The 22,528-nt window shown below is 37.8% G+C and overlaps 1 protein-coding gene and 1 pseudogene across 1 annotated transcript, besides 21 other annotated features; both read left to right on the top strand.

Moving 5' to 3' along the window:
• OR51B3P (olfactory receptor family 51 subfamily B member 3 pseudogene) lies at positions 1–949 on the top strand (annotated as a pseudogene).
• Positions 11,508–12,307: a DNaseI hypersensitive site, noted in NCBI's record as "5'HS7, also known as HS7 or HSVII; observed in fetal liver but not fetal brain; the nucleotide coordinates are approximate for this feature". NCBI's record gives its function as "chromatin accessibility in fetal liver {active_cell/tissue: liver(fetal)}" and the evidence as "EXISTENCE:in vivo cleavage assay evidence [ECO:0001075][PMID:10220430]".
• Positions 11,508–22,528: part of a biological region, named in NCBI's record as "beta-globin locus control region", that runs on past the window's edge. NCBI's record gives its function as "regulatory_interactions: HBB | HBBP1 | HBD | HBE1 | HBG1 | HBG2 | LOC107133510 | LOC110006319".
• OR51B4 (olfactory receptor family 51 subfamily B member 4) lies at positions 13,748–14,680 on the top strand. The gene has a single exon (NM_033179.2). It carries the CDS (start codon positions 13,748–13,750, stop codon positions 14,678–14,680), a length of 933 nt encoding a protein of 310 aa, NP_149419.2.
• Positions 17,508–18,307: a DNaseI hypersensitive site, noted in NCBI's record as "5'HS6, also known as HS6 or HSVI; observed in fetal liver but not fetal brain; the nucleotide coordinates are approximate for this feature". NCBI's record gives its function as "chromatin accessibility in fetal liver {active_cell/tissue: liver(fetal)}" and the evidence as "EXISTENCE:in vivo cleavage assay evidence [ECO:0001075][PMID:10220430]".
• Positions 20,730–22,074: an enhancer, noted in NCBI's record as "(E-P-r)-GFP construct fragment containing the U3 enhancer and promoter and 5' half of the R region". NCBI's record gives its function as "ERV-9 LTR enhancer activity in various embryonic tissues and in adult blood lineage cells" and the evidence as "EXISTENCE:reporter gene assay evidence [ECO:0000049][PMID:11836419]".
• Positions 20,740–22,434: a mobile genetic element, noted in NCBI's record as "ERV-9 erythroid enhancer upstream of 5'HS5".
• Positions 21,331–22,434: an enhancer, noted in NCBI's record as "1.1 kb fragment of the LTR-GFP construct spanning 14 U3 enhancer repeats, the U3 promoter, and the R and U5 regions of the ERV-9 LTR". NCBI's record gives its function as "transcriptional enhancer in transfected K562, embryonic and hematopoietic cells, and in oocytes and progenitor cells of transgenic zebrafish; activates transcription of downstream DNA preferentially in erythroid cells {active_cell/tissue: hematopoietic | K562 | oocytes(transgenic zebrafish) | progenitor cells(transgenic zebrafish)}" and the evidence as "EXISTENCE:reporter gene assay evidence [ECO:0000049][PMID:9878258, PMID:11836419]" and "EXISTENCE:transgenic organism evidence [ECO:0001131][PMID:14718667]".
• Positions 21,399–21,450: a protein binding site, noted in NCBI's record as "E2 NF-Y-binding probe; binds to CCAAT motif". NCBI's record gives its function as "binds NF-Y in K562 erythroleukemia cells {active_cell/tissue: K562}" and the evidence as "EXISTENCE:protein binding evidence [ECO:0000024][PMID:16105833]".
• Positions 21,399–21,450: a protein binding site, noted in NCBI's record as "E2 GATA-2-binding probe". NCBI's record gives its function as "binds GATA-2 in K562 erythroleukemia cells {active_cell/tissue: K562}" and the evidence as "EXISTENCE:protein binding evidence [ECO:0000024][PMID:16105833]".
• Positions 21,520–21,560: a protein binding site, noted in NCBI's record as "E1 GATA-2-binding probe". NCBI's record gives its function as "binds GATA-2 in K562 erythroleukemia cells {active_cell/tissue: K562}" and the evidence as "EXISTENCE:protein binding evidence [ECO:0000024][PMID:16105833]".
• Positions 21,520–21,560: a protein binding site, noted in NCBI's record as "E1 NF-Y-binding probe; binds to CCAAT motif". NCBI's record gives its function as "binds NF-Y in K562 erythroleukemia and PA-1 teratocarcinoma cells {active_cell/tissue: K562 | PA-1}" and the evidence as "EXISTENCE:protein binding evidence [ECO:0000024][PMID:16105833]".
• Positions 21,557–21,608: a protein binding site, noted in NCBI's record as "E2 NF-Y-binding probe; binds to CCAAT motif". NCBI's record gives its function as "binds NF-Y in K562 erythroleukemia cells {active_cell/tissue: K562}" and the evidence as "EXISTENCE:protein binding evidence [ECO:0000024][PMID:16105833]".
• Positions 21,557–21,608: a protein binding site, noted in NCBI's record as "E2 GATA-2-binding probe". NCBI's record gives its function as "binds GATA-2 in K562 erythroleukemia cells {active_cell/tissue: K562}" and the evidence as "EXISTENCE:protein binding evidence [ECO:0000024][PMID:16105833]".
• Positions 21,643–21,679: a protein binding site, noted in NCBI's record as "E2 NF-Y-binding probe; binds to CCAAT motif". NCBI's record gives its function as "binds NF-Y in K562 erythroleukemia cells {active_cell/tissue: K562}" and the evidence as "EXISTENCE:protein binding evidence [ECO:0000024][PMID:16105833]".
• Positions 21,643–21,679: a protein binding site, noted in NCBI's record as "E4 GATA-2-binding probe". NCBI's record gives its function as "binds GATA-2 in K562 erythroleukemia cells {active_cell/tissue: K562}" and the evidence as "EXISTENCE:protein binding evidence [ECO:0000024][PMID:16105833]".
• Positions 21,653–21,678: a protein binding site, noted in NCBI's record as "E4 (MZF) MZF1-binding probe". NCBI's record gives its function as "binds MZF in K562 erythroleukemia cells {active_cell/tissue: K562}" and the evidence as "EXISTENCE:protein binding evidence [ECO:0000024][PMID:16105833]".
• Positions 21,717–21,768: a protein binding site, noted in NCBI's record as "E2 GATA-2-binding probe". NCBI's record gives its function as "binds GATA-2 in K562 erythroleukemia cells {active_cell/tissue: K562}" and the evidence as "EXISTENCE:protein binding evidence [ECO:0000024][PMID:16105833]".
• Positions 21,931–21,991: a protein binding site, noted in NCBI's record as "NF-Y-binding promoter probe P". NCBI's record gives its function as "binds NF-Y in K562 erythroleukemia cells {active_cell/tissue: K562}" and the evidence as "EXISTENCE:protein binding evidence [ECO:0000024][PMID:16105833]".
• Positions 21,931–21,991: a protein binding site, noted in NCBI's record as "GATA-2-binding promoter probe P". NCBI's record gives its function as "binds GATA-2 in K562 erythroleukemia cells {active_cell/tissue: K562}" and the evidence as "EXISTENCE:protein binding evidence [ECO:0000024][PMID:16105833]".
• Positions 21,931–21,991: a protein binding site, noted in NCBI's record as "Sp1-binding promoter probe P". NCBI's record gives its function as "binds Sp1 in K562 erythroleukemia cells {active_cell/tissue: K562}" and the evidence as "EXISTENCE:protein binding evidence [ECO:0000024][PMID:16105833]".
• Positions 21,932–22,019: a promoter, noted in NCBI's record as "U3 promoter region in the ERV-9 LTR". NCBI's record gives its function as "transcription of the R region and downstream sequence" and the evidence as "EXISTENCE:reporter gene assay evidence [ECO:0000049][PMID:11836419]".
• Positions 21,989–21,994: a TATA box, noted in NCBI's record as "AATAAA motif 25 bases upstream of the transcription initiation site". NCBI's record gives its function as "TATA box for the U3 promoter in the ERV-9 LTR" and the evidence as "EXISTENCE:motif similarity evidence [ECO:0000028][PMID:9878258, PMID:11836419]".

The following is a 22,528-nucleotide window of genomic DNA, read 5'->3' as shown; positions in this document are numbered from 1 at the left end:
ACACACAATGCGGCTCCTTTTTTGCTGCCTGGCTTTTCAGTACTGGAGGCAACTTATCACTCGATCTCCATCCCCTTCTTTGCTGTTTATGTGTGCGTCCTTCTTGGCAATGGCAAGCTCCTCTACCTCATCAAGCATGACCACAGTCTTCACGAACCCATGTACTGTTTCCTTGCCACACTGAGGCAAGACCTCATGGTGAAATTGACCATGATGCCCACTGTAATGGGCGTCTTGTGGATGAATCACAAAGAGGTTATCCATGGGGCCTGCTTCTTGCAGGTTTACATTATCCACTCCCATTATCCACTTGCAGAATCAGGTATTCTCCTGTCAATGGCCTATGACCGTTTCATTATCATCCACATGCTTCTCAGGTATAACTATTTCTACTAAATCTTGGGTGAAGATAGAACTGTGGCTATTTATGAGGGACTTTTTATCCCTCGTGCCTCCAATTCTGCCACTCCATTGCTTCCCATATTGTCATTCCCATGTTCTCTTCCACACCTTTTTTCTCCATCAAGATGTCCTGAAACTTGCCTGTGCTGATATTACATTCAATCACTTATACCCAGCTATTCTGGTTGCTTTGATTTTCTTCCTAGACGCTCTGATCATTGTCTTTTCTTATATCCTGATCCTTAAAACAGTTAAAGGTATTGCCTCCAGAAAAGAGCAAGCCAAAGCTCTCAACATGTGTGTCTCCCATATCAGCTGTGTCTTGGTATTTCACATCACCGTGATCAGTGAGACTTTCATTCACAGGTTTGGGAAACATGCACCACATGTGGTGCACATTACCGTGAGCTAATGACTCATTTCTTTTTCCTCCATTCATGAACCCTATTATATACAGCATCAAACCAAGCAGATCCAAAGAAGCATTGTTCGCCTATTTTCTGGGCACAGAATGGCTTGAGCCCTTTTTTCAGAATTTTGTGATCTTCATGATTTCTGGGCCTTTTGAGTAATTGGAAAGGAGCTTATTTTATACCCAATATCTCTTGTATCAGTGTTAGATAGGCTTTAACTATTATCTAAAGTGAAAAGCTACATGGAACAATAATACAATGAATGTATCCATCAATTGATCAATTGATAAATACATAAATATATGTATAAATGTATTCATATGTAGATGTAAAGCTTTATCGAGGGAGATATATCTATAATTTACCTATCTATTGAGAGATACTAGGAAAGTGGAATACTATTGAATATGGAGATAAAACATGTAGATAAATACCCTAATAATCAGGGAAAATATGGTTATTCATAACCTGTATTCATAAGAACTGAAAGTACCATTTTAGGAAGAGTCAAGTGGCCAGTCTAGTTCAACCAAAGCCTACAGAAGGAAAAATGTGCAATTGCAGATCTAGTTTTGGCCATATAAAGATGAATTATAGCATGTGAATTGAGGTCATGGAACTCTACTATAATCTCAAAACTACTCTATTTCAGGGTAGATTTTCCTTTTTTTTTTTTTTTTTTAAAATAGATTTTATTTTCCTTCAACTTATTAGGTAGGTGCAAAGGTAATTGCAGTTCACAGAAATTACTTTTGTACCAACATAATATATTTTAAGTTCCAGGGCACATGTGCAGGATGTGCAGGTTTATTACATAGGTAAATGTGTGCCATGCAGGTTTGCTGCATTCGTTAGCTATTCTTCCTGGTGCTCTCCCTCTCCTCCCCACCCACTACCGGACAGGCCCCTGTGTGTGTTGTTCCCCACAAGTGTCCATGTGTTCTCACTGTTCAGCTCCCATTTCTGTGTGAGAACATGTGTGTTTGGTTTTCTGTTCCTGTGTTAGTTTGATGAGGATAATGGCTTCCAGCTCCATTCATGTCCCTGCAAGGAACACAATCCTTTTCCTTTTTATGGCTGTATAGTATTCCATGGTATATATGTACCACGTTTTCTTTATCCACTCTATCATTGATGGACATTTGGGTTGATTCCACATCTTGGCTATTATGAATAATGCTGCAATGAACATAAGCATGCCTGTATTTTTATAATAGATTGATTTATATTCCTTTGGGTATATACCCAGTAATGAGATTGCTGAGTCAAGTGGTATTTCTGCTTCTACATCTTTGAGGAAAGGCTACACTCTCTTCCACAATGTTTGAACTAATTTACTCTCCCGTTAACAGTGTAAAAGCATTCCATTCCTTTCTCTCTGCAACCTTGCCAGCAACTGTTGTTTCTTGACTTTTTAATAATTGCCATTCTGACTGGTGTGAGATGGTATCCCATTGTGGTTTTGATTTGCATTTTTCTAATGACCAGTAAGGTTGAGCTTTTTTTTTTTCATATGTTTATTAGAAGCATGAATGTCTTCTTTAGAGAAGTGTCTATTCATGTCATTCCCCACTTTTTAATGGGGTTGTTTTTTTCTTGTAAATTTGTTTTAGTTCCTCATAGACTCCAGATATTAGACTTTTGTCAGATGGAGAAATTGCAAAAATTTTCTTCTATTCTGTAGGTTGTCTGTTATCTCTGATGATAGTTTCTTTTGCTGTGCAGAAGCTCTTTAATTTAATTAGATCCCATTTGTCAATTTTTTTTTGCAGTTGCTTTTGGTGTCTTGAGTTTTCTTTCAAAATGATACAATGTCATCTATAAAGTTTTACAGTAGAGACTCTCTAAATTCATAAATTTCCTAGTTGCTCATTTCATGAGTTAATGTATTTCTTTTGATCTTGTGTTCTCTCTAAATGCTGGATAGAAACATTTCTGATATGTCCAATAGATGAAATATAATCTGATATTTTCCTTTTTGTATATTCAATTTATTTTTTATTCTAATAAATCACAAGTGATCTCAATTTGTTGCAGCAACTTGGAAATCTCACTAGGATTTATTTGATCATATATTTTGCTAATTTTCATCCTTTTATAATTGATTTTAAGAAGTTTATTATGTATTATCTCTAGTGTTTTATTTTTAGTGTACGTATTTTCCCAGTTTTCTGTTTGTCTTGCTATATACACAATTTAAAAGCTTACATATACATTATTTTATTATTTACTTTATCTACTGAAGTATTGGAGCCATACTATCAAAGCCCTTGCTGACTTCAGGTTTATTTATATCTTTTTCTTATACTTTTGCCTAATTTATTTGTACATATCCTATGTTTAAAAGGGTTTGTGTTTGGAGGAGAGTAGGACTTTAAATCATTCCTCATGTGCCTATTTTCGTGGAAACACCACTAATATTTAATCATTCCTTTGGTTAATTTTTTAAGGGCACTATTATGGGTCACCTTGCTAAGCAAAAATGATATAAGAGAGCAAATAGACAAACTTTTCTTCTTAAAGTCTTCAAATAAGTGGGGACTCAAAGAATAAAAGAAATCCAAATTTAAAACAAGTGCTGTGATTAATCATAAAGCAGAAAGAAGACACTGAATGGAGAGTGTGGGTCTCAAAAAAGGCTTGAGGTTATGGCTTGAAATAAGGGTAAGATTCCCTGAGAAAGTGTCCCTTCAGCTGAGACCTGAAAATGGATTAGAAACTAACTGGTGAAAATACAGACAAGAATATTCTAAGACTGAAGGAGTGTGTGTGGAGACCTCAGCTAGGTTGGTTTATATTAGGGAAGGTGGCTACTGGAAGAGGGTGTTTGCTTTGAGAAGAGGCTGAAGAGGGAAGGAATGGCCTTATTGGTCATCATAAGAGTTTGAGTCTCTACTCGGAGTCATGGAAAGCTACTGAAAGAAGCTGCATAATTCATTGATGTTTTAAAATTACTTCAATATTATTTATAAAATGGAATTGAGGGAGGCAGGGAAAGGGCAGAATATTAGAGTAATTTGAAGAAAGATAATAGTAACTCAATTTAGGAAAGTGGAAATGGTAATGGAGAGATATGACAAATATTTAAGGTCTAAATATAATAAGGTTTACAGGTTATTTAGAAAAGCAGAGGAAAGAAAGAGTTGGAAAGGAGCAAAAATCACCATCAATTTCTGACATGTTCTTGGAAGAAAGGCAGTGCCAAAAGAAAGGCAGTCACTGATTATGTATTGTCTATAAATAAGAAGAATCATTATAATTTTTAAAGTTGTGGGACACTGAGAATGAGTCAAAATAATAAACATGTGATTTAAGAAAGCAATTGAAGGAAGTATTTCAAACTGTAGAACTAGACTTTTAAAAACAAAATATTAGCTTAATAATTAAAAAAATCATTCATTCAAATCATTTCAGTATGTATTTCTTTTTGCCTGATCATGAAGAGTCATAGTAAAGGCAAGACATATGTCAGAAAATGATGAGAATTTACAGATGCAAGACAACAGAAACAAACTGAAGCAGATGACACCCAAAGAAGGTCAGAGAATAAGTGAAACAGTGGCTCACTATCCTAGGAGAAAGCAGGATAGATCCGGGTTTTTCTTGGGTGTCATTCACTGAAGTAGACCCAGTTTTAAAATAGCAGTCCAAAAAATACTGCCAAACGTGAGATAATATATCAATTATATGATACAACTGGTTAGAGCCAGATAATCTGATACAAACATAAATAGGAAGATGGATTAACTAAATTCTGAATTACCAGATGAGTAAATAACAAGAATTTATTGAAAAATGAAGTTTTTTCATGAGTGCTTATGTTAGTTACCCTAGATTTGCGGCATGCCTTCACAGATGTCCAATCATAGATATTTGAGGAGGACCATATGGAACTGAAAATAATCTATGCTTGATTCTTTCTCTCAAGTGAAATTGTTGAGTCAACCATCCTATTCTATTTATTAAAATCAAATAAATGGTCTTTAAGATATAAGAGACTTTATCCTAGTATGTATATATATAGTTGTGTTTGCATGTGTGTGTGGACACCTGCACATGTGGAATAAATCTTTTAATATTTTATCTTAGACATAATTTTTAACCTCAAACTCTTGTTTTTAAACCTTTCACAATAAATTTAATGAATTGAAATACATTTATTGTTTTATTTTTATAGTGGTAATATATACAATTTGCCACTTTAGCCTTTTTATAATGTATAATGCAGTGGCACTTATTACATTTGCCATGTTGTGCAATCACCACCACTATTTCTAAAATTTTGTATTACACCAAATAAAAACTCTATATTGATTAATCAGTTACTCCCCAATCCATGTTCTTCCTACACTCTGGTAACTTCTAATCTACTTTTTGTCTCTATGAATTTGCCTATTCTAGATAGCTCATGTAAGTGAAATCAGACAATGTTCTTTTGCGTATGACTTATTGCACTTAGGATAGTTTTTTAAGGTTTATTCATGTTGTAGCATGTGTCAGACCTACTTTTTATAGATAAATAATATTCTATCACATATATAAGACATTTTGTTGATATACGCATCTGTTGATAGATACTTGTATTGTTTCTATTCCTTGGCTACTGTGAATTATTGATGTCTTCCCTTCAATATGCCCAGATTCTACCTAAATATATCTCTCTACTTCCTCTCACTCTGAATATTCTGCTTTTCAAAGAATATTCCTTGGAATATTCCATGGAAGAAGAAAATGAGACAAGCTTTCTGGAGAAAGGAAGTTTTCAGTGCCTTGATCTCGGCTGACTGCAACCTCTGCCTCCTGGGTTCAGTTTTCAGTTAAAGAAATGATTTAACAAATTTTTTCACTCAACTAGAGATTTTATGATAATGCAATACAGATAAAAGATAATGCAATCCTTCCAGACCTAAAAATATGTGGCATCCACATTTTACAGGTACATTTTCACGGAGAAAGATAAGAACTGGTGATTTGTTTGCAACAAATCTTTGCTCTGGACTTCACTGAGTAAAGTTTTTTTTGCTTTGTTTTGTTTTGTTTTTGAGATGGAGTCTCGCTCTGTCGCCCAGGCTGGAGTGCAGTGGCGTGATCTCAGCTCACTGCAAGCTCTGCCTCCCGGGTTCACGCCATTCTCCTGCCTCAGCCTCCCGAGTAGCTGGGACTACAGGCGCCCGCCACCACGCCAGGCAAATTTTTTTGTCTTTTTAGTAGAGACGGGGTTTCACTGTGTTAGCCAGGATGGTCTCGATCTCCCGACCTCGTGATCCACCCGCCTCGGCCTCCCAAAGTGCTGGGATTACAGGCGTGAGCCACCGCGCCCGGCCTGAGTAAAGTTTTATATTGGGAAGACATAAAAATGTGGAGAGAAATGAGATCCAATCTATGGAATGCTTAAAAAAATAGGTGTAGGCGCAAGTTTTCTGTATGTCCTTGTATTAAAACTTTTTCATACTGAATCAATTGTAAAACCGATTATTTACCCAATGCATGCTGTAAGCAAAATTATATGCTATTGAGTACAATGTTTAAGCTATTGATACTGAGTATAAACACAAATCTTAAAATCTGGTTATCCCCCAAAGACTCCTCTGTTTCTCATAATGTGCCCAGTAAGTTCCTAATGTTTATTAGTGTGTTGGTAGGAAATTTCAACCCCGATCATTTCCATCTTGATTTGCTGACCTGGGTGCAGGTTCTTATGACAGAGGAAAGACTGTCTTTGTAAGTTATTTTGGAAGAATAGAAACTGTGAAAAATATATGGCTTCTTTGGTGCTCATGAGGTATTTTGATACTGCATGCTGCTCCAATATCTAAATTATACATCTGCTCCTCTTTTACAGCTTTATCTTAGGTGGAAGGGACTTCAGCTAAGTTGGCTAAGGCCCTTCAAATTAAAACTCTGTTAGTTTTTCTCATGCTTAGTGAGAAAGATGCCAACTTTCTGCTATGAAACTTCAAGTTATAGTTTTTTCAATAACCTGCAATTTACGTCCAAGAAGAAAGGAAGATTCAATCTATCTTCAGTGATGACCAGCATCACTGAACGGTTATCTGGGCCTGTTGTGGATTGTGAATATGACAATATTTGAATCTCTCTGACGAGGTATAAGAGAGGGACACTCACTTTTGAATATGCAGGGCTGTTTCCATGATGGAGGAAAGAGATTGGAGGAATGTAGATTTATGGGTGAAGTTGTTTGGCTTGGAAGTTGGATGGTCAGTTCCAGGTGCTACCATTGGTGCTGAAGGAGAACGTTTCCAAAATGTCTTTGGGGAAATACAATTTCCTATCGTTTTGTTTAGTTGACACAAAATCTTACTCAGCAGGGGCCCAAAGTGCAATTGGTCTATATTATCAACTCCTCTATACATATTTAGACACTTCGCAGGTATCAAGTCATTACCAGGAGCACCAGCTTAGTTGTTTCATCTTCTACAACCTCATTAGATTGACTGACTGTAACTTCTTTCAACGTAATCTCCAGAAAACAAGTTTTACTGCATACCTTCAACCTTAAAATGTCTCCTTTCAGCCTTGTCCCTGTACTATTAGTCCTATTTGCCTTGCATAGATGTGAGATGGTACACAGTGATTTCACTTATAATTTTCTTTCTCTTCCTATATGGTAACATAACTGATAAGACACAAAGAAGATAAAAAAGACATATAATGTCTGATATATTATTGTTGGGGTACAGTTCTTTATTGAGAATAAGAGTTTCTTTTCATGTATTGGTCTAGCTATTTAGTAGTATAGATAGATCACAGGAAATTGTAGACTTGGTGTATTTAGACATCAACAAAAACATTTTCAAAGTAGTCTTTTCATTGGAATGGGAGAATATAAGTTCCATAAGTGGTTAAAACATCTTACCTTGAGACTCACTTGCAGCCAAAGTACTAAGAAGGAAAAAAACACATAAATGTCTCTTCTCATGTGGTCACAGCTATTTGGGAGGCTGAGGTGTAAAAATCACTTAAGCCTAAAAGCTTGAGGCTGCAGTAAACTATGATCTCACCACTGCACTCCCTCCTGGGTGACAGAGCAAGACACTGTCTCAAAAGAGAGGAAAGAAAAGAAAAGAGAATAAAAGGAAAGGAAAGGAAAGGGAGAAAGAAAGGAAGGAAGGAAGAAAAAGAGAGAGAGAAATAAGGAAAGAAAGAAAAAAGAAAGGAAGGAATGAGGGAAGGAGGGAAGGAGGGAAGGGGGAAGGGGGAAGGGGGAGGGAGGGAGGGAGGAAGGAAGGAAACTTCAAAAAATCTTTCTTCTTGATGTTGTTATGGATTTTTCTCTGAACCATGATTGATGTAAAAATTAGAGACATCGAAGTACTAAACAATAAAGAAAAGGAGATAGCATTGTTTGGCATGCTTGAACTAGTAATCTTATTACAAACAGATGTAGAGGTTGTAAAGGTCTACAATTTGGCTACAAAACCAATGGCTTGATCACAAGAATAGCATTCATTTGCTTAACTAGTACTTACTGAGCACCCACTATATGTTAAGCTCCATTTTAAGCACTGAAAATGTCACTCACTTAAAATCTTTCAGAAGTTTTGTTTTACTGTGAGTACAAAGAGAACTGACTTTATGATATGGTTATTTACCAAGCCGTCACTTCTTAGCTACAAGTCTAGAATCAACAGGTTCTGCAAAATGAATTCTGGAATGCATTTATTGCTGTATGACCTAAAATCACGTTTTGGCAAAATCTTACCTGAATATATGAGAGGATATTTAGGTTTTTTTCCCCTAAGTATAAACAGGTGATAGTAAATAGAGTAACTTGCTGCGAGTGTCACATATATTATGTAGAATATGCATTTTATCACTATTTTAAATCTGAAAGACTGAATTTGACATGTTTTGAGATAAGAGTTTAGGGTAGAGTTGTGTATCTGCACGATCTTAGACTACTTAAATAGAAACTCAGCACATAATCCAATGAAAAAAGAGATTTCAGAATGGGACTAATATGACAACATCTGGATTATTATGTTCAATAAGGTGGAGCATCATAGGAAATAAATCAGGATTAGGAATAATTACATGATAAACATTTAAAGGACTGTTGATATTGGTTCACCCATCAGGAAAGAAGTCTTAGGGTTTTTAATGCAGATATCTTTATACATCTAGAAAAAAATTATGTATGAATATAATGGCTAATATATGGTTATTTTATTCTGGAGATCAGACCTAAATATAAGGAGTAGATATTATATGTTTCAGAGAAGTATATGTCTCTCTCTCTCTCTCACTGTCTCTGTCTGTGAATATATATATACACACACACATACACACCTATGCATACATATATTGATAGTAAATACCATATATACATATACTAAATAATTAAATGAAACCCACATATATATGAATGAGATAGCTCAGGGTAGGGTAGTGAGTTTTGAATCAATAGAAAGAATAAATAAATGTCTGATGAATAATCATCAAGACGAAAAGGTTTGGTGGTGGCTCAAGGATTTTGTAAAGGGTTGAATTAGAGAATATAATACAGTTTGAAAAGGGGCAATGTTCTTCAAATGTTAACATTTACAAAGACAAAGTGACTGGTCTTCCCACTCTAAGACCAATGGAACACTTGAGAGTGACTCATTTCGGTCATGCCTCATCTGATGTTAGAGACACAACTTCTCTTAGAGACTCTCCTTCCAAAGAAAAAATAAAGGCCATGGGGACCAGTTTCAATGGCCCAGATCTTTCCCAGGTTGGGGAGGAAAAGAGAATTATTTGGTACACTATTCCCAAATATCCTATGTGGAAATGAGCTAGAATAACCCCTTGAGAGTTGTTTGTGTAACAAATATATCTCTCATCAGAATTAAGAGTAAATACTGAGGATATAGCAAACAACCAATATTCAGGTCATGCTCAGAAACCGCAAAGAGAAAACTGTGGCTCAGGTAAGAAAAGCCAAGGATTCAAATACGGGAAGCAAGTTTAACCATTTCCATTTGATGGACATTGGTTGAGAATATGAGCTTGGGTTTTGGGTTAGATAAACCTGTGTTTGAATTCCTTTATGACACATATTAGTTGCGTGATCTTAGGCTAATTGCTTAACTTGTCTAAGGCTCAATTTCCTCACCATAACAATATAAATAAAATAATATATTGTCTTTACTTTCTTGTTTTTTACTCACTTTTCTTTTCTCTCTCTCTCTTTAACAGATTTTTCTCTGTTGCCCAGGCTAGAGTGCAGTGGTGCGATCTCAGCTCACTGCGACCTCCTCCACCAGGGTTCAGGGGATTCTCATGCCTCAGCCTCCAGAGTAGCTGGGATTATGATCATGTGCCACCACACCTGGCTTATTTTTGTAATTATAGTAGTGATGGTGTTTTGCCATGTTGGCCCAGCTGGTCTCGAACTCCTGAACTCAAGTGATCCACCCTCCTCGGCCTCCCAAAGTGCTGGGATTATAGGCATGAGCCACCGTGCCCAGCTGTTTTTTACTCACTTTTTGTCTCACAGTCATTAGGCATTCATTTCTGCCATTATGTTGAAATTGTCAATATTACCAAAGACCTAGTTGCCCCAAACAATCAACACCTCTATGTTTATATTAATTGATAATTCTATATTTTTCACTATTAACCTACCATAGTATCCACTCCTATAAACTTCCCTTTTCATTGTTTTTTTGTAAATACAGATCAACTTTGCTATCCTCTTACATCTGTGCCTGCTTCTTTGTCTATCTCCTTTGAGATCTTTCTTTTTACTGAGAGCAAAATTTGTCCTAGTTTCCCAATGTTTCTCTCCAAACCTTTTTTTTTTTTTTTTTTGAGACAGAGCCTTGCTTTGTCGCCCAGGCTGTAGTGCAGTGGCACAATCTTGGCTCACTGCGACGACCTCTGCTCCCCAGTTTTTTTAAAGCAATTCTCCTGCCTCAGCCTCCCGAGTAGCTGGGATTACAGGCGCTCACCACCACACCCAGCTAATTTTTGTATTTTTAGTAGAGACAGGGTTTCACCATGTTGGCCAGGCTAGTCTCAAACTGCTGACCTCGTGATCCACCTCAGCCTTCCAAAGTGCTAGGATTACAGGCATGAGCCTCTGTGCCTGGCCACCTCTTCCATTTTAATTTGTACTTAAGGTAAGATATAAAAAAGTCACTTAAAAGCTGAGATTTTTCAGATATTTTGTCTTCATCTCATGGCTTCCCATTGTCAGTTGACTTTAAATATTTATTTTGGTATATTTATTAATTTCTTCTATAGGAACACAATTTTGGGGCAATATGTGGAGATGAAAAAGTGGATTCAGGGGACACTGATTGTACAGGGCACTTGCAGATTATCTGGAACTAAACGGAAGACTGTTCTTTTTTAACACGATCTTAATATTCTCTTTTTGTCTTCTCATTTTAGTTTATGTCTTTATAAATGGTTTCCTGAACAGTTCCTAAGCTTTTTGTCAGCATGGCAAGTTGAAGAAGCTCTGGATGATGGATCTATGTTACCTTCAGAAACTCTTGAGGACTCTGGGATAGTTGCTGTCAAAGAATCAGTCCAAAGGCACTCAGAAAGGGGCAAGAGAACAGTGAGCCAGTCATTTTTGCATCCCTCAGGGGGCCTCTATGCTTGCCTGAGAGTGATAAATTCCACTAAAGTTATGACTCTCACTTTTGTCATGTATCACATTCTAGGAGACTCCCTAAACTATTAGGGCAACTATTCTCCCTGGAATATTTGGGTATGTGGACAGTTTCTGGTACTACCAAATTTGCCACAATTAAATGCCAGCGTAGCTGTTTTGCTAGAGACTGCAGATGTTAAATAGAGGGCTATCTTTAGGTCAATAAAATATACTTATAAATTGTATTAACTATTTCCCCAGTAATTACCACACAGTTTTAATAAAACCCTGTGCATCCGCATGTCCCAAACGCAGCTCAGGTTTTGAAAACACGACTATAGTTTAAGAATAATCAGGCCTCCTCCGGCTTCCTCCATCTGGTCCATTATCTGGGTGACAGTAGATCCAAATAAGTGGTTAGCTCTTATCCTGTACAACAAATTTTGGCATTAATCCATTCTCTTATAAGGCAACATTGGAAGGTTAAGAGAACTTATAATGATATACACATCACTCCTGTGGCGGTAGATAAGTTCTGCCACATTAAGCACTATGCAGGTCATAATTCAGTGGATCAAGTTAGTTAGCAGTGTTTTTAGTATCCATATGAACATAGTCTCTGCTACTGCAGTGCCTAGACTGACATTTTTGTTATCAACAGTGTCCCCTGAAGTAGCAGCCCTTTCAAAAGTCCTTTCACCTTTCCTCTGTCCATCTCTCTCCACCAATAATTGCTTATATTAGAGATGTTACTATGTGCCAAAATTCTGAAACATATAATTATTATTGTTTCTATAGGTTTTTATAAAATAAAAAAGGTGCAAAGATTGTTATCACTTCATTTTTACTGAATTACACTTCAAAGGTGTCGGTAGTAATATTTATAATATTGAATGATATTTTAAAAGACTCTGGACACATACAGAATCAATTGAATTTGGGAGAAACTGAGTTTCCCTTGTAGTTCTCTTTGTTTTCCCAATAAACCTGCTACAAAATTTCTTGGTATCACAACAACAAAAATCTTGACTTTGTAAAAGTGTAATTATAAATATAAATAAATATTAATTATAAATAGACTTCATAGTTCCCTATGAGGATCCTTGTGAATTTTTCTCAATACGAGTCTTACAGATTCATAATGATTAGAGGGTCTGTAAGATTGTCTCCATCAGCAACATAGTTGCCGTATTTTCTCTCTGGGAGTGCTTATCTTTTCCCTAGAACTGGTTGTGTGAAGTTTATTAACTCAATTACCAACTTCCGATATTACTATTGCCCTTCAGATCAACATACTTACGAATCTATGACTCTAACAAGTATTAGGCTTTTGTGGAGGCCCTCATTGTAGAAGTATGTCCTTAAAATATTTCCGTTATGAGCTTCCAACATGAGTCTCCTATTTTCATGTTTGTCCCTAATGTGCCAAAACTCAGACTTTTTGCAGCATAGGGAACTTGCTGAGTCCCAAGTCCACTGAGTAATTACACCTTTCTAAAATGAGTTTACTAACTTTACCCACTTGTTCAGGTGTTCAGATTTCTGTGGAAACTCACAATAGATGAGTTATTTTCTTTCGTTTTATTTTATTTTATTTTTTATAGAGACAGAGTCTGACTCCGTTGCCCAGGCTGGAGAGCAGTGCTGCAATCATAGCTCCCTGCAGCCTCACAGTCCTGGGCTCAGGTGATGTGTGCCCCTGTGCCCAGCTAATTTTTATCTTTTCTTTTTTTTTTGGTGGAGGCAGGGTCTAGCTATGTTGCCCAGGCTGGGTTCTCTTCTTATTCACAGTCCACTTGAGATAGCAACATTGATCACAATATTTCTCAGTCATTTCTATTGAATAAGCATTTTCCTCAGTGGTTAATCCTAAATACAGCTGTCCCATTAGTTTCAAGAGAAAAAATTTGAACTGACTCAACTTGGATAGTAACACAGTAAGGGCCCATATGATAAATAATAGGAGGAGGAATAAAAGAGTAAAGAGAATAAAAGGGAACAAAGGAGTCCTATTTGGGACCAAGAGTCAAGGCTATGAGCACAGACGTAAGATGAGTGTTGAAAAAATAAAGGTTGTATGCTTCATAGTGAATTGGAATTATTATTCTGACCATGATTTTTGTTATTTGTTATTCTAGGGAAAGGCCTTGTGAGTACAGGCTTACAATTAATTAAGTATGAGACAATCCAGAAAAATATTTAAGTTTTGAGGTAAAAAATGGCCTGATGATGTGCTACAAGAAGATTGTGAGAGAAAAAAGAAAACTGCATCTTTGGAGGTCATCACCCCTAAAAAATATCTTCTCCACCTGCAAAACCTACCATGTGGTATAACAACAGTGCTGGCCCCTTCTTGCTGACTGGCTTCTTGGGCTCAGAGGCAGTTCACTACCGGATCTCTATGTCCTTCTTTGTCATCTACTTCTCCGTCCTTTTTGGAAATGGCACTCTTCTTGTCCTCATTTGGAATGATCACAGCCTCCATGAGCCCATGTACTACTTCCTGGCTATGCTGGCAGACACGGACCTTGGGATGACATTCACTACAATGCCCACAGTCCTGGGTGTCCTGCTGCTAGACCAGAGGGAGATTGCCCATGCTGCCTGTTTCACCCAATCCTTCATTCATTCACTGGCCATTGTAGAATCAGGTATCTTGCTTGTTTTGGCCTATGACTGTTTCATTGCCATCCGCACACCACTGAGGTACAACTGCATTCTTACCAATTCCCGAGTGATGAACATAGGACTGGGGGTACTGATGAGAGGTTTTATGTCCATTTTGCCCATAATTCTTTCACTCTACTGCTACCCATATTGTGGTTCCCGTGCCCTCTTGCACACATTTTGCCTCCATCAAGATGTCATAAAACTCGCCTGTGCTGATATCACGTTTAATCACATATATCCAATTATTCAGACTTCTTTGACTGTCTTTTTAGATGCTCTAATCATCATCTTTTCTTATATACTAATCCTCAAGACAGTGATGGGCATTGCGTCTGGACAAGAGGAAGCTAAATCTCTCAACACTTGTGTCTCCCATATTAGCTGTGTCCTAGTATTTCACATCACTGTGATGGGACTGTCATTCATTCACAGGTTTGGGAAACATGCACCTCATGTGGTCCCCATTACCATGAGCTATGTCCATTTTCTCTTTCCTCCATTCGTGAATCCTATCATTTATAGCATCAAGACCAAGCAGATTCAAAGAAGCATTATTCGCCTATTTTCTGGGCAGAGTAGGGCTTGAGCCCTTATTTCAGAATCTCAAGATCTCTAGGATTTCTGGGCCTCTCCCATTACTGAAAAGGAACCCTGGTTTTATATCCACACTTTTTTTTCCTCAGAGTTAGATTCAATTTTAATTATCACATGAAAAAGCTGATGTGAGCGAGAAATTTTTATACATATGTGTGTGTGTGTGTGTATATATATATATATATATATATCACCTAATAAAGAGGGAATGCCAGTGATGCTGAAGAAAAAGAATACAGGAAGCAGAGGAGATATAACAATCCAAAAGAAGAGTAACTATGATTTCAGAAATAGTCAAGATAAGTGGACTAAAGCAGCTTGGGTCAAATACAGTTCATCTAAAGAAAAATGTGCAGTTGGAGGTACATTTTATGTGTCTTATAAAGGTGAATTTGAATAATACATGATCATATTTTCATCTCCATACTTTGAAACTAGTTACTCTGAAAAGGATCTTGCTTGATTAGTAAGCAAACTTGTGTGAGGCTAAACAGCAAATATCTAGAACTTTAGGAAGCTTACTCATGAAATGTAATTTCCCTTAGTAGACTGGCATATTTTACTACTAAAAGGCGTGTGATACAGACTAACAGCTAAATAGCAGCAAACACATTTCTTATCATCTCGTGGAAGCCAGATATCCCAGCCCCGTTTTCCTTCTTCCCATTGTCTGCTGAAACTAACTTAATACTTTTTCTTCTTTCCAGCTTTCTATTTTGTCTCCTGACATTTTTCTTCTGAAAAAAATAACCAACTATAAATTTAGATATCACCACCCATTTCTATTTCCCCTCTTGCTTCTCACATAAAAAATCTCGAGACTTTTTCACTTCATGAAATAGTTTTGATAATTAATGCAAAAACTTGGCAAAGGTAATGTTATATTTTAGAAATTTTTCACTGATGGAATAGTTTCTTCCTTCAATCTTCTTCAAAGTGTTTGTAAGTCTTTATGCTGTTCATTGGGTCTGAACCGCAGTCTACCACTTGCTATTAGTGTAACAGGGGATGACAATTTCTTCATCTACTGCTAGTTCTGCGCTAGTATTTGCAGCTGATCTCCTTATAGGAAACTAATCTCAAAAGTTGCATTCATTCCTCTCTGAAGACTGCTGTTTCTTCCAATTTTTAAGTTCTCGTTGAGCTTGCTTCTAATATTTTCTTTTCTGATTGAAAGTCCATGTTCAGAACCCAGTATATAATTATTCCATTCTAAATTCTCTCTGCTTCACTTAAGAAATCTTTCATATTTATTTTACATCTGGACAGTGAGCACTCTGAAAATATTCCAGAGATTTGATAAGAAAATACTTACTGAAAACTAAAGCTAAATAATGCAGTATTTCTCCAAATTAGAAGGCCCATTTGGATGCAGGAAAAATAAAAACTAATAAATGACTACTCCTGAAGGATTCAGTTATTGTGCGAATTGTTTGTGAGAGTTCTTTGAAAGTAGGACGTGGGGGGTTTATTCATTGTCATTTTAGTTGTTATTCTCTGTGTAAAATTTATTTATTTGTTTTTCCAAAGTTGGCATACAGAGTTTATTCTATTTAGAAACGTCGTTTTCTGGTTGCCTTTGTTGTTTGGTCTAAAATGCACATTGTGCTAACATACAAACTACATTTAGGAAAGCTGCATCTCTATTGACCACTGAAAGGATGTCTGTAAGAGTAAAAAACATAGCGGTATTAAAATTTTCAGGCGAATAAGGGTTTTTTGTAAAAATGGCAAATGTATTTGTCAGTAGGGGATTGCGATGCTGTTTTCTTGATTGTTATAAGAAGACAGCCTACAACAATGTGTAAATGTGTAATGCAAACTTAGGGGCGATGTGCTGAAAATAAGGTATGATAGCGAAGTCTAAGAAACAGAGGTATCTAATTATAAATAAGAAGAAGTGGGAAGATCAAGTTGAGAGCTCAAGTTTACTCATATGTTAGCAAGGGATGACATAATATGATATTATAGCCTATTGATCTTTAAACAGCCTGTATCAATAGTCAAAAATCAATTAAAAAGGATAAATTTTAAAAATCACTCATTTTCTTAAGTAAATGTATATTTATGCGTTTTAATTTTAATTATATTCATAACCTATATATTATATTTTACAACTTCTTAGTTTGAAAATCCTTTCAATTATTAAGTCAGCATCCACCTGCTGATCCAGTGATATATAAGGACATTTATTGCACCACTGAAGTAAAATCAGTGTCCTTTCAAACAAGTGCAGCTTCCAGACAAGTCTCTTAGACCTCATCCTCAGTCTCACCCTGACTGACAAGTTTGCCATACTTGAGAACCTTGTGAAGCAGGCGTTGTGTCTATAAGCTCTCTTAGAGATCTGCTCTGAGGAATTATCAAGTCAGCACAGTTAATTCTCTGTCATACTGTGAGTTTAGTCAGGGCAGTAATTATATTTCCCCATCAGCATATTGTCTTCCCAAGGATAACTACCTGCCATTCTGTAAACCCCCAAATTTATTAATGCAGTCCTTTAAAAATACACAATGTTACTTGTCTGGTGTGGCTAAAGCTTATTTATTTATTTATTTATTTATTTTTATAGACATGATCTTGCTCTGTTGCCCAGGCTGGAGTGCAGTGGTGCCATCACAGCTCACTGCAGCCTTGAAATCCTGGGCTCAAGCAATCCTTCTTCCTCAGCTTTTTGAGTACCTAGGACTACAGGTTTATGCCACTGCACCTAGCTAATGTTTTTATTTTTTGTAAATATGGGATCATGTTATGTTGCCGAGGCTGCTCTCCAATTCCTAACCTCAAGCAATCCTCCCACCCTGGCCTCCTAATGATAGGGACAGGAGGCAGAGAAATTTTAGGCAGAAAAGGGCGGGGTCCCTGGCATGGGTCCTACCCTGAAGCCTGGAACATGGCCATTCCTGAGATATTTCTCTCAGCCAGAACTGTTTCACATTCACATTTTAAGTGCCAGGTCTTTCTATCTTTCTAGCTGTCTTATTCATGCACTTTCTAGAAATCACTTGTATATTAACATGCCTATATTATATTTACATTCCCTTCATTTCTTTATTCTCTGTTTGTCTCATGAATATTCCCTCAGGAAACACCCTCCCACGCCGTTCCCTTTATCTAGCTTCTTATTCATTCCTCTTGCTGTACTGATTAGCCTTGACTCCTCTTATAGCTCACCCCAGCCTCTTGGCATTATTATCAAGTGTTACCACAGTTGAACAGCTGGATCCAAAAGTATTGACCAATAAGGAACAGAAAATAAAACTTGCAATGTAAATTATAATATGGATAAGCATTGGTACTAAACCTGAAGTTAGTATTTTACTCTATACCTACAAGGAAGATATACAAGTATTTCTCTAAGGTAGTTTGAAAAGCCTAGATATAGAAACTGGATCCTCACATGAGTTCAGTATATAATTGTAACAGAATAAAAAATCAATTATGTATTCAAGTTGCTAGTGTCTTAAGAGGTTCACATTTTTATCTAACTGATTATCACAAAAATACTTCGAGTTACTTTTCATTATAATTCCTGACTACACATGAAGAGACTGACACGTAGGTGCCTTACTTAGGTAGGTTAAGTAATTTATCCAAAACCACACAATGTAGAACCTAAGCTGATTCGGCCATAGAAACACAATATGTGGTATAAATGAGACAGAGGGATTTCTCTCCTTCCTATGCTGTCAGATGAATACTGAGATAGAATATTTAGTTCATCTATCACACATTAAACGGGACTTTACATTTCTGTCTGTTGAAGATTTGGGTGTGGGGATAACTCAAGGTATCATATCCAAGGGATGGATGAAGGCAGGTGACTCTAACAGAAAGGGAAAGGATGTTGGCAAGGCTATGTTCATGAAAGTATATGTAAAATCCACATTAAGCTTCTTTCTGCATGCATTGGCAATGTTTATGAATAATGTGTATGTAAAAGTGTGCTGTATATTCAAAAGTGTTTCATGTGCCTAGGGGTGTCAAATACTTTGAGTTTGTAAGTATATACTTCTCTGTAATGTGTCTGAATATCTCTATTTACTTGATTCTCAATAAGTAGGTATCATAGTGAACATCTGACAAATGTTTGAGGAACAATTTAGTGTTTACCTATTCACCAAAATTTATTAAATGCCTAATCTGTATCAGATATACAATTATCTGGCGAAATCTGTAATTCCTAATTTAAACAGCTGTGTAGCCTAATTAGGGATAAAGGCATGCAAACCCATAATTTGTGTAGGTTGAAATGAGCTATAGAAAAATGCAGTATATTTATCAGAAGTCTTTAGGGTCATGAAAAGGAATGGTCAACTGACACTGCCAGGGACTCATATGTAAGAGATAACTAATGTGAAGTGACTTTAAAGGAGAAATTAGCAGAAGTTTTCTTTCCATGTCTCCTCATCATGTTACAATAACGGAAGAGATTAAAACAACAAATACATTTAGACAGCAATGTTTATCCTGGTTAGATGTTTTAATCTAAATCTATCTTGGAGTGTTAAAATGCATTTGCTCACCTACTTTAAAATATAAATGAAGGTAGGAACCTGTAGATACAAAAAGTTGGAGAAAAAAAGACAATAAAGATGACAAAAATCTATTAATCCTTGATAGAAAATGAGAAGAGATAAAACACTGGTTTACATAAAGAAAATAAGATGGATAGATAGCAGATCCTTATAAAAGTGATAATTTGAGAAAAAAAATACTCCATATTCTGAGTTTCTTCACATAAAATAATACAAATCTGCTGTGGTAAGTTACAAAGAGATAGATTTTTTATCATTATATAAAAGATATTTTAAACAGAGTTATACAACAAAGGAACAGACTATGTCATATATTCTCACTTATCACTATAAACATCTCAGAAAAATCTGCAAAATCATTTCATAGCATTTTAAATAGTTAGGAATAATGTAGAAAACTGAAACAGTTCTAAGTTTCCCACAAACTTAGAGTCTCAAATGTTGCATTACCTAACTTACCTGCAAATATTTTATACAAATTTGCACATGCTACTCTAGTCAAAAATATATGTACATTATGGGTATTTTCTGTGTGTAACTTGGTTCTAGTTGCTTCTTTCAGAAATAGCCTCTATTTTTGATTTACCTGATAAAATCACATTCCTCTCCAAAGCCTTCTAAATACTTCCAGACTAACTACTTTTTAGTACATCTAAGAAGAAAAGAGTTTTGTCTCTTATCCACCTCTGAGTCAAAAAGCAGCATGTCCATCAATTGGTACATAGTTCCCACAGCCCCACTTAGCTCTGGATTGGAGTTCTACTTGGCATTGTTTGCAACTACATGGACGTAAAATGCATGGATTCTCTTGAAAAAATGTTTCTGCCATGATGTTCTCTGAAAGAGACTAACCTTCCCTCGCTTTGCAGAGAAAGACTCGTGTAATCCTTGACAATGTCATCTCATCTATTTATTCCCATGTCTACCCATATGTGACCTTCATGTCTTTGCTCTAAGCCCCTACATCCTCAATCTACACACTAGGATAGTATAAAAGTAATAGTAATAATAGTAGTAATAGTAATAACAATACAATGATTATGGCTTATACTATACACAAGACACTGTTGATATATTATTTCATTTAGTATTCACAGTAACTCTGTGCCTCAAGTACTATTGTAATACCCTTTAAGAGGAGGAAACTGAGGCACAGGGCCCTAAAGTAATATTCCAAGATGAAGTGGCTACTAACTGACAGAGGGCATAATTCAACTCATGATATTTGGCTCTAGAATACATGCTCTGAATCATTATACAATAATAATTCATGAGGAAACATTTTTTAAAGCCTAAGTTATTTGCTCTGAAATAAGACATAATTTGGGGTGAGAAAGCTTAGATTCCATGAAGTATTACAGCATTTGGTAGTCTTTTTGCACTCCAGGTCTTATTTTTACTGCTTAAACATAATAAAACATATGGTTCAGTATGCCTTTGATTTTACAATAATATTCCTGTTATTTTTGGAAGCACAGGGTGTGGGATAATGCTAATTACTAGTGATTAGTATTGAGAGGTGACAGCGTGCTGGCAGTCCTCACAGCCCTCGCTCGCTCTTGGCGCCTCCTCTGCCTGGGCTCCCACATTGGTGGCACTTGAGGAGCCCTTCAGCCGGCCGCTGCACTGTGGGAGCCCTTTTCTGGGCTGGCCAAGGCCAGAGCCGGCTCCCTCAGCTTGCCAGGAGGTGTGGAGGGACAGACGCGGGCAGGAACCGGGCTGTGCGCCGTGCTTGAGGGAGTTCCGGGTGGGCATGGGCTCCGAGGACCCCGCACTCGGAGCCGCCAGCCGGCCCCACCGGCCGCGGGCAGTGAGGGGCTTAGCACCTGGGCCAGCAGCTGCTGTGCTCAATTCCTCGCCGGGCCTTAGCTGCCTTCCTGCGGGGCAGGGCTCGGGACCTGCAGCGCGCCATGCCTGAGCCTCCCCACCTTCATGGGCTCCTGTGCGGCCCGAGCCTCGCCGACGAGCGCCGCCCCCTGCTCCAGGGCACCCAGTCCCATCGACCACCCAAGGGCTGAAGAGTGCGGGCGCACGGCAGGGGACTGGCAGGCAGCTCCCCCTGCAGCCCAGGTGCGGGATCCACTGGGTGAAGCCGGCTAGGCTCCTGAGTTTGCTGGGGATGCGAAGAACCCTTATGTCTAGATAAGGGATTGTAAATACACCAATTGGCACTCTGTATCTAGCTCAAGGTTTGTAAACACACCAATCAGCACCCTGTGTCTAGCTCAGGGTTTGTGAATGCACCAATCAACACTCTATCTAGCTACTCTGGTGGGGCCTTGGAGAACCTTTATGTCTAGCTCAGGGATTGTAAATACACCAATCGGCAGTCTGTATCTAGCTCAAGGTTTGTAAACACACCAATCAGCACCCTGTGTCTAGCTCAGGGTTTGTGAATGCACCAATCAACACTCTGTATCTAGCTACTCTGGTGGGGACGTGGAGAACCTTTATGTCTAGCTCAGGGATTGTAAATACACCACTCGGCAGTCTGTATCTAGCTCAAGGTTTGTAAACACACCAATCAGCACCCTGTGTCTAGCTCAGGGTTTGTGAATGCACCAATCAACACTCTGTATCTAGCTACTCTGGTGGGGACTTGGAGAACCTTTGTGTGGACACTCTGTATCTAGCTAATCTGGTGGGGACGTGGAGAACCTTTGTGTCTAGCTCATGGATTGTAAATGCACCAATCAGTGCCCTGTCAAAACAGACCACTGGGCTCTACCAATCAGCAGGATGTGGGTGGGGCCAGATAAGAGAATAAAAGCAGGCTGCCCGAGCCAGCAGTGGCAACCCGCTCGGGTCCCCTTCCACACTGTGGAAGCTTTGTTCTTTCGCTCTTTGCAATAAATCTTGCTGCTGCTCACTGTTTGGGTCTACACTGCCTTTATGAGCTGTAACGCTCACCGCGAAGGTCTGCAGCTTCACTCTTGAAGCCAGCGAGACCACGAACCCACCGGGAGGAACGAACAACTCCAGAGGCGCCGCCTTAAGAGCTGGAACGTTCACTGTGAAGGTCTGCAGCTTCACTCCTGAGCCAGCGAGACCACGAACCCATCAGAAGGAAGAAACTCCGAACACATCCAAACATCAGAACGAACAAACTCCACACACGCAGCCTTTAAGAACTGTAACACTCACCACGAGGGTCCCCGGCTTCATTCTTGAAGTCAGTGAAACCAAGAACCCACCAATTCCGGACACAGTATGTCAGAAACAATATGAGTCACTAAATCAATATACTTCTCAACAATTTCCAACAGCCCTTGCAATTAACTTGGCCATGTGACTGGTTGTGA

This window comes from Homo sapiens, chromosome 11 (genome assembly GCF_000001405.40).
Source record: "Homo sapiens chromosome 11, GRCh38.p14 Primary Assembly".
Classification (NCBI taxonomy): domain Eukaryota; kingdom Metazoa; phylum Chordata; class Mammalia; order Primates; family Hominidae; genus Homo; species Homo sapiens.
This window is presented reverse-complemented; position numbering and strand designations above follow the sequence as displayed.

Bases quoted from the DNA above. Each gene is read 5' to 3' on its own strand.
- OR51B4 (NM_033179.2), top strand. From the start codon at position 13,748: ATGTGGTATAACAACAGTGCTGGCCCCTTCTTGCTGACTGGCTTCTTG.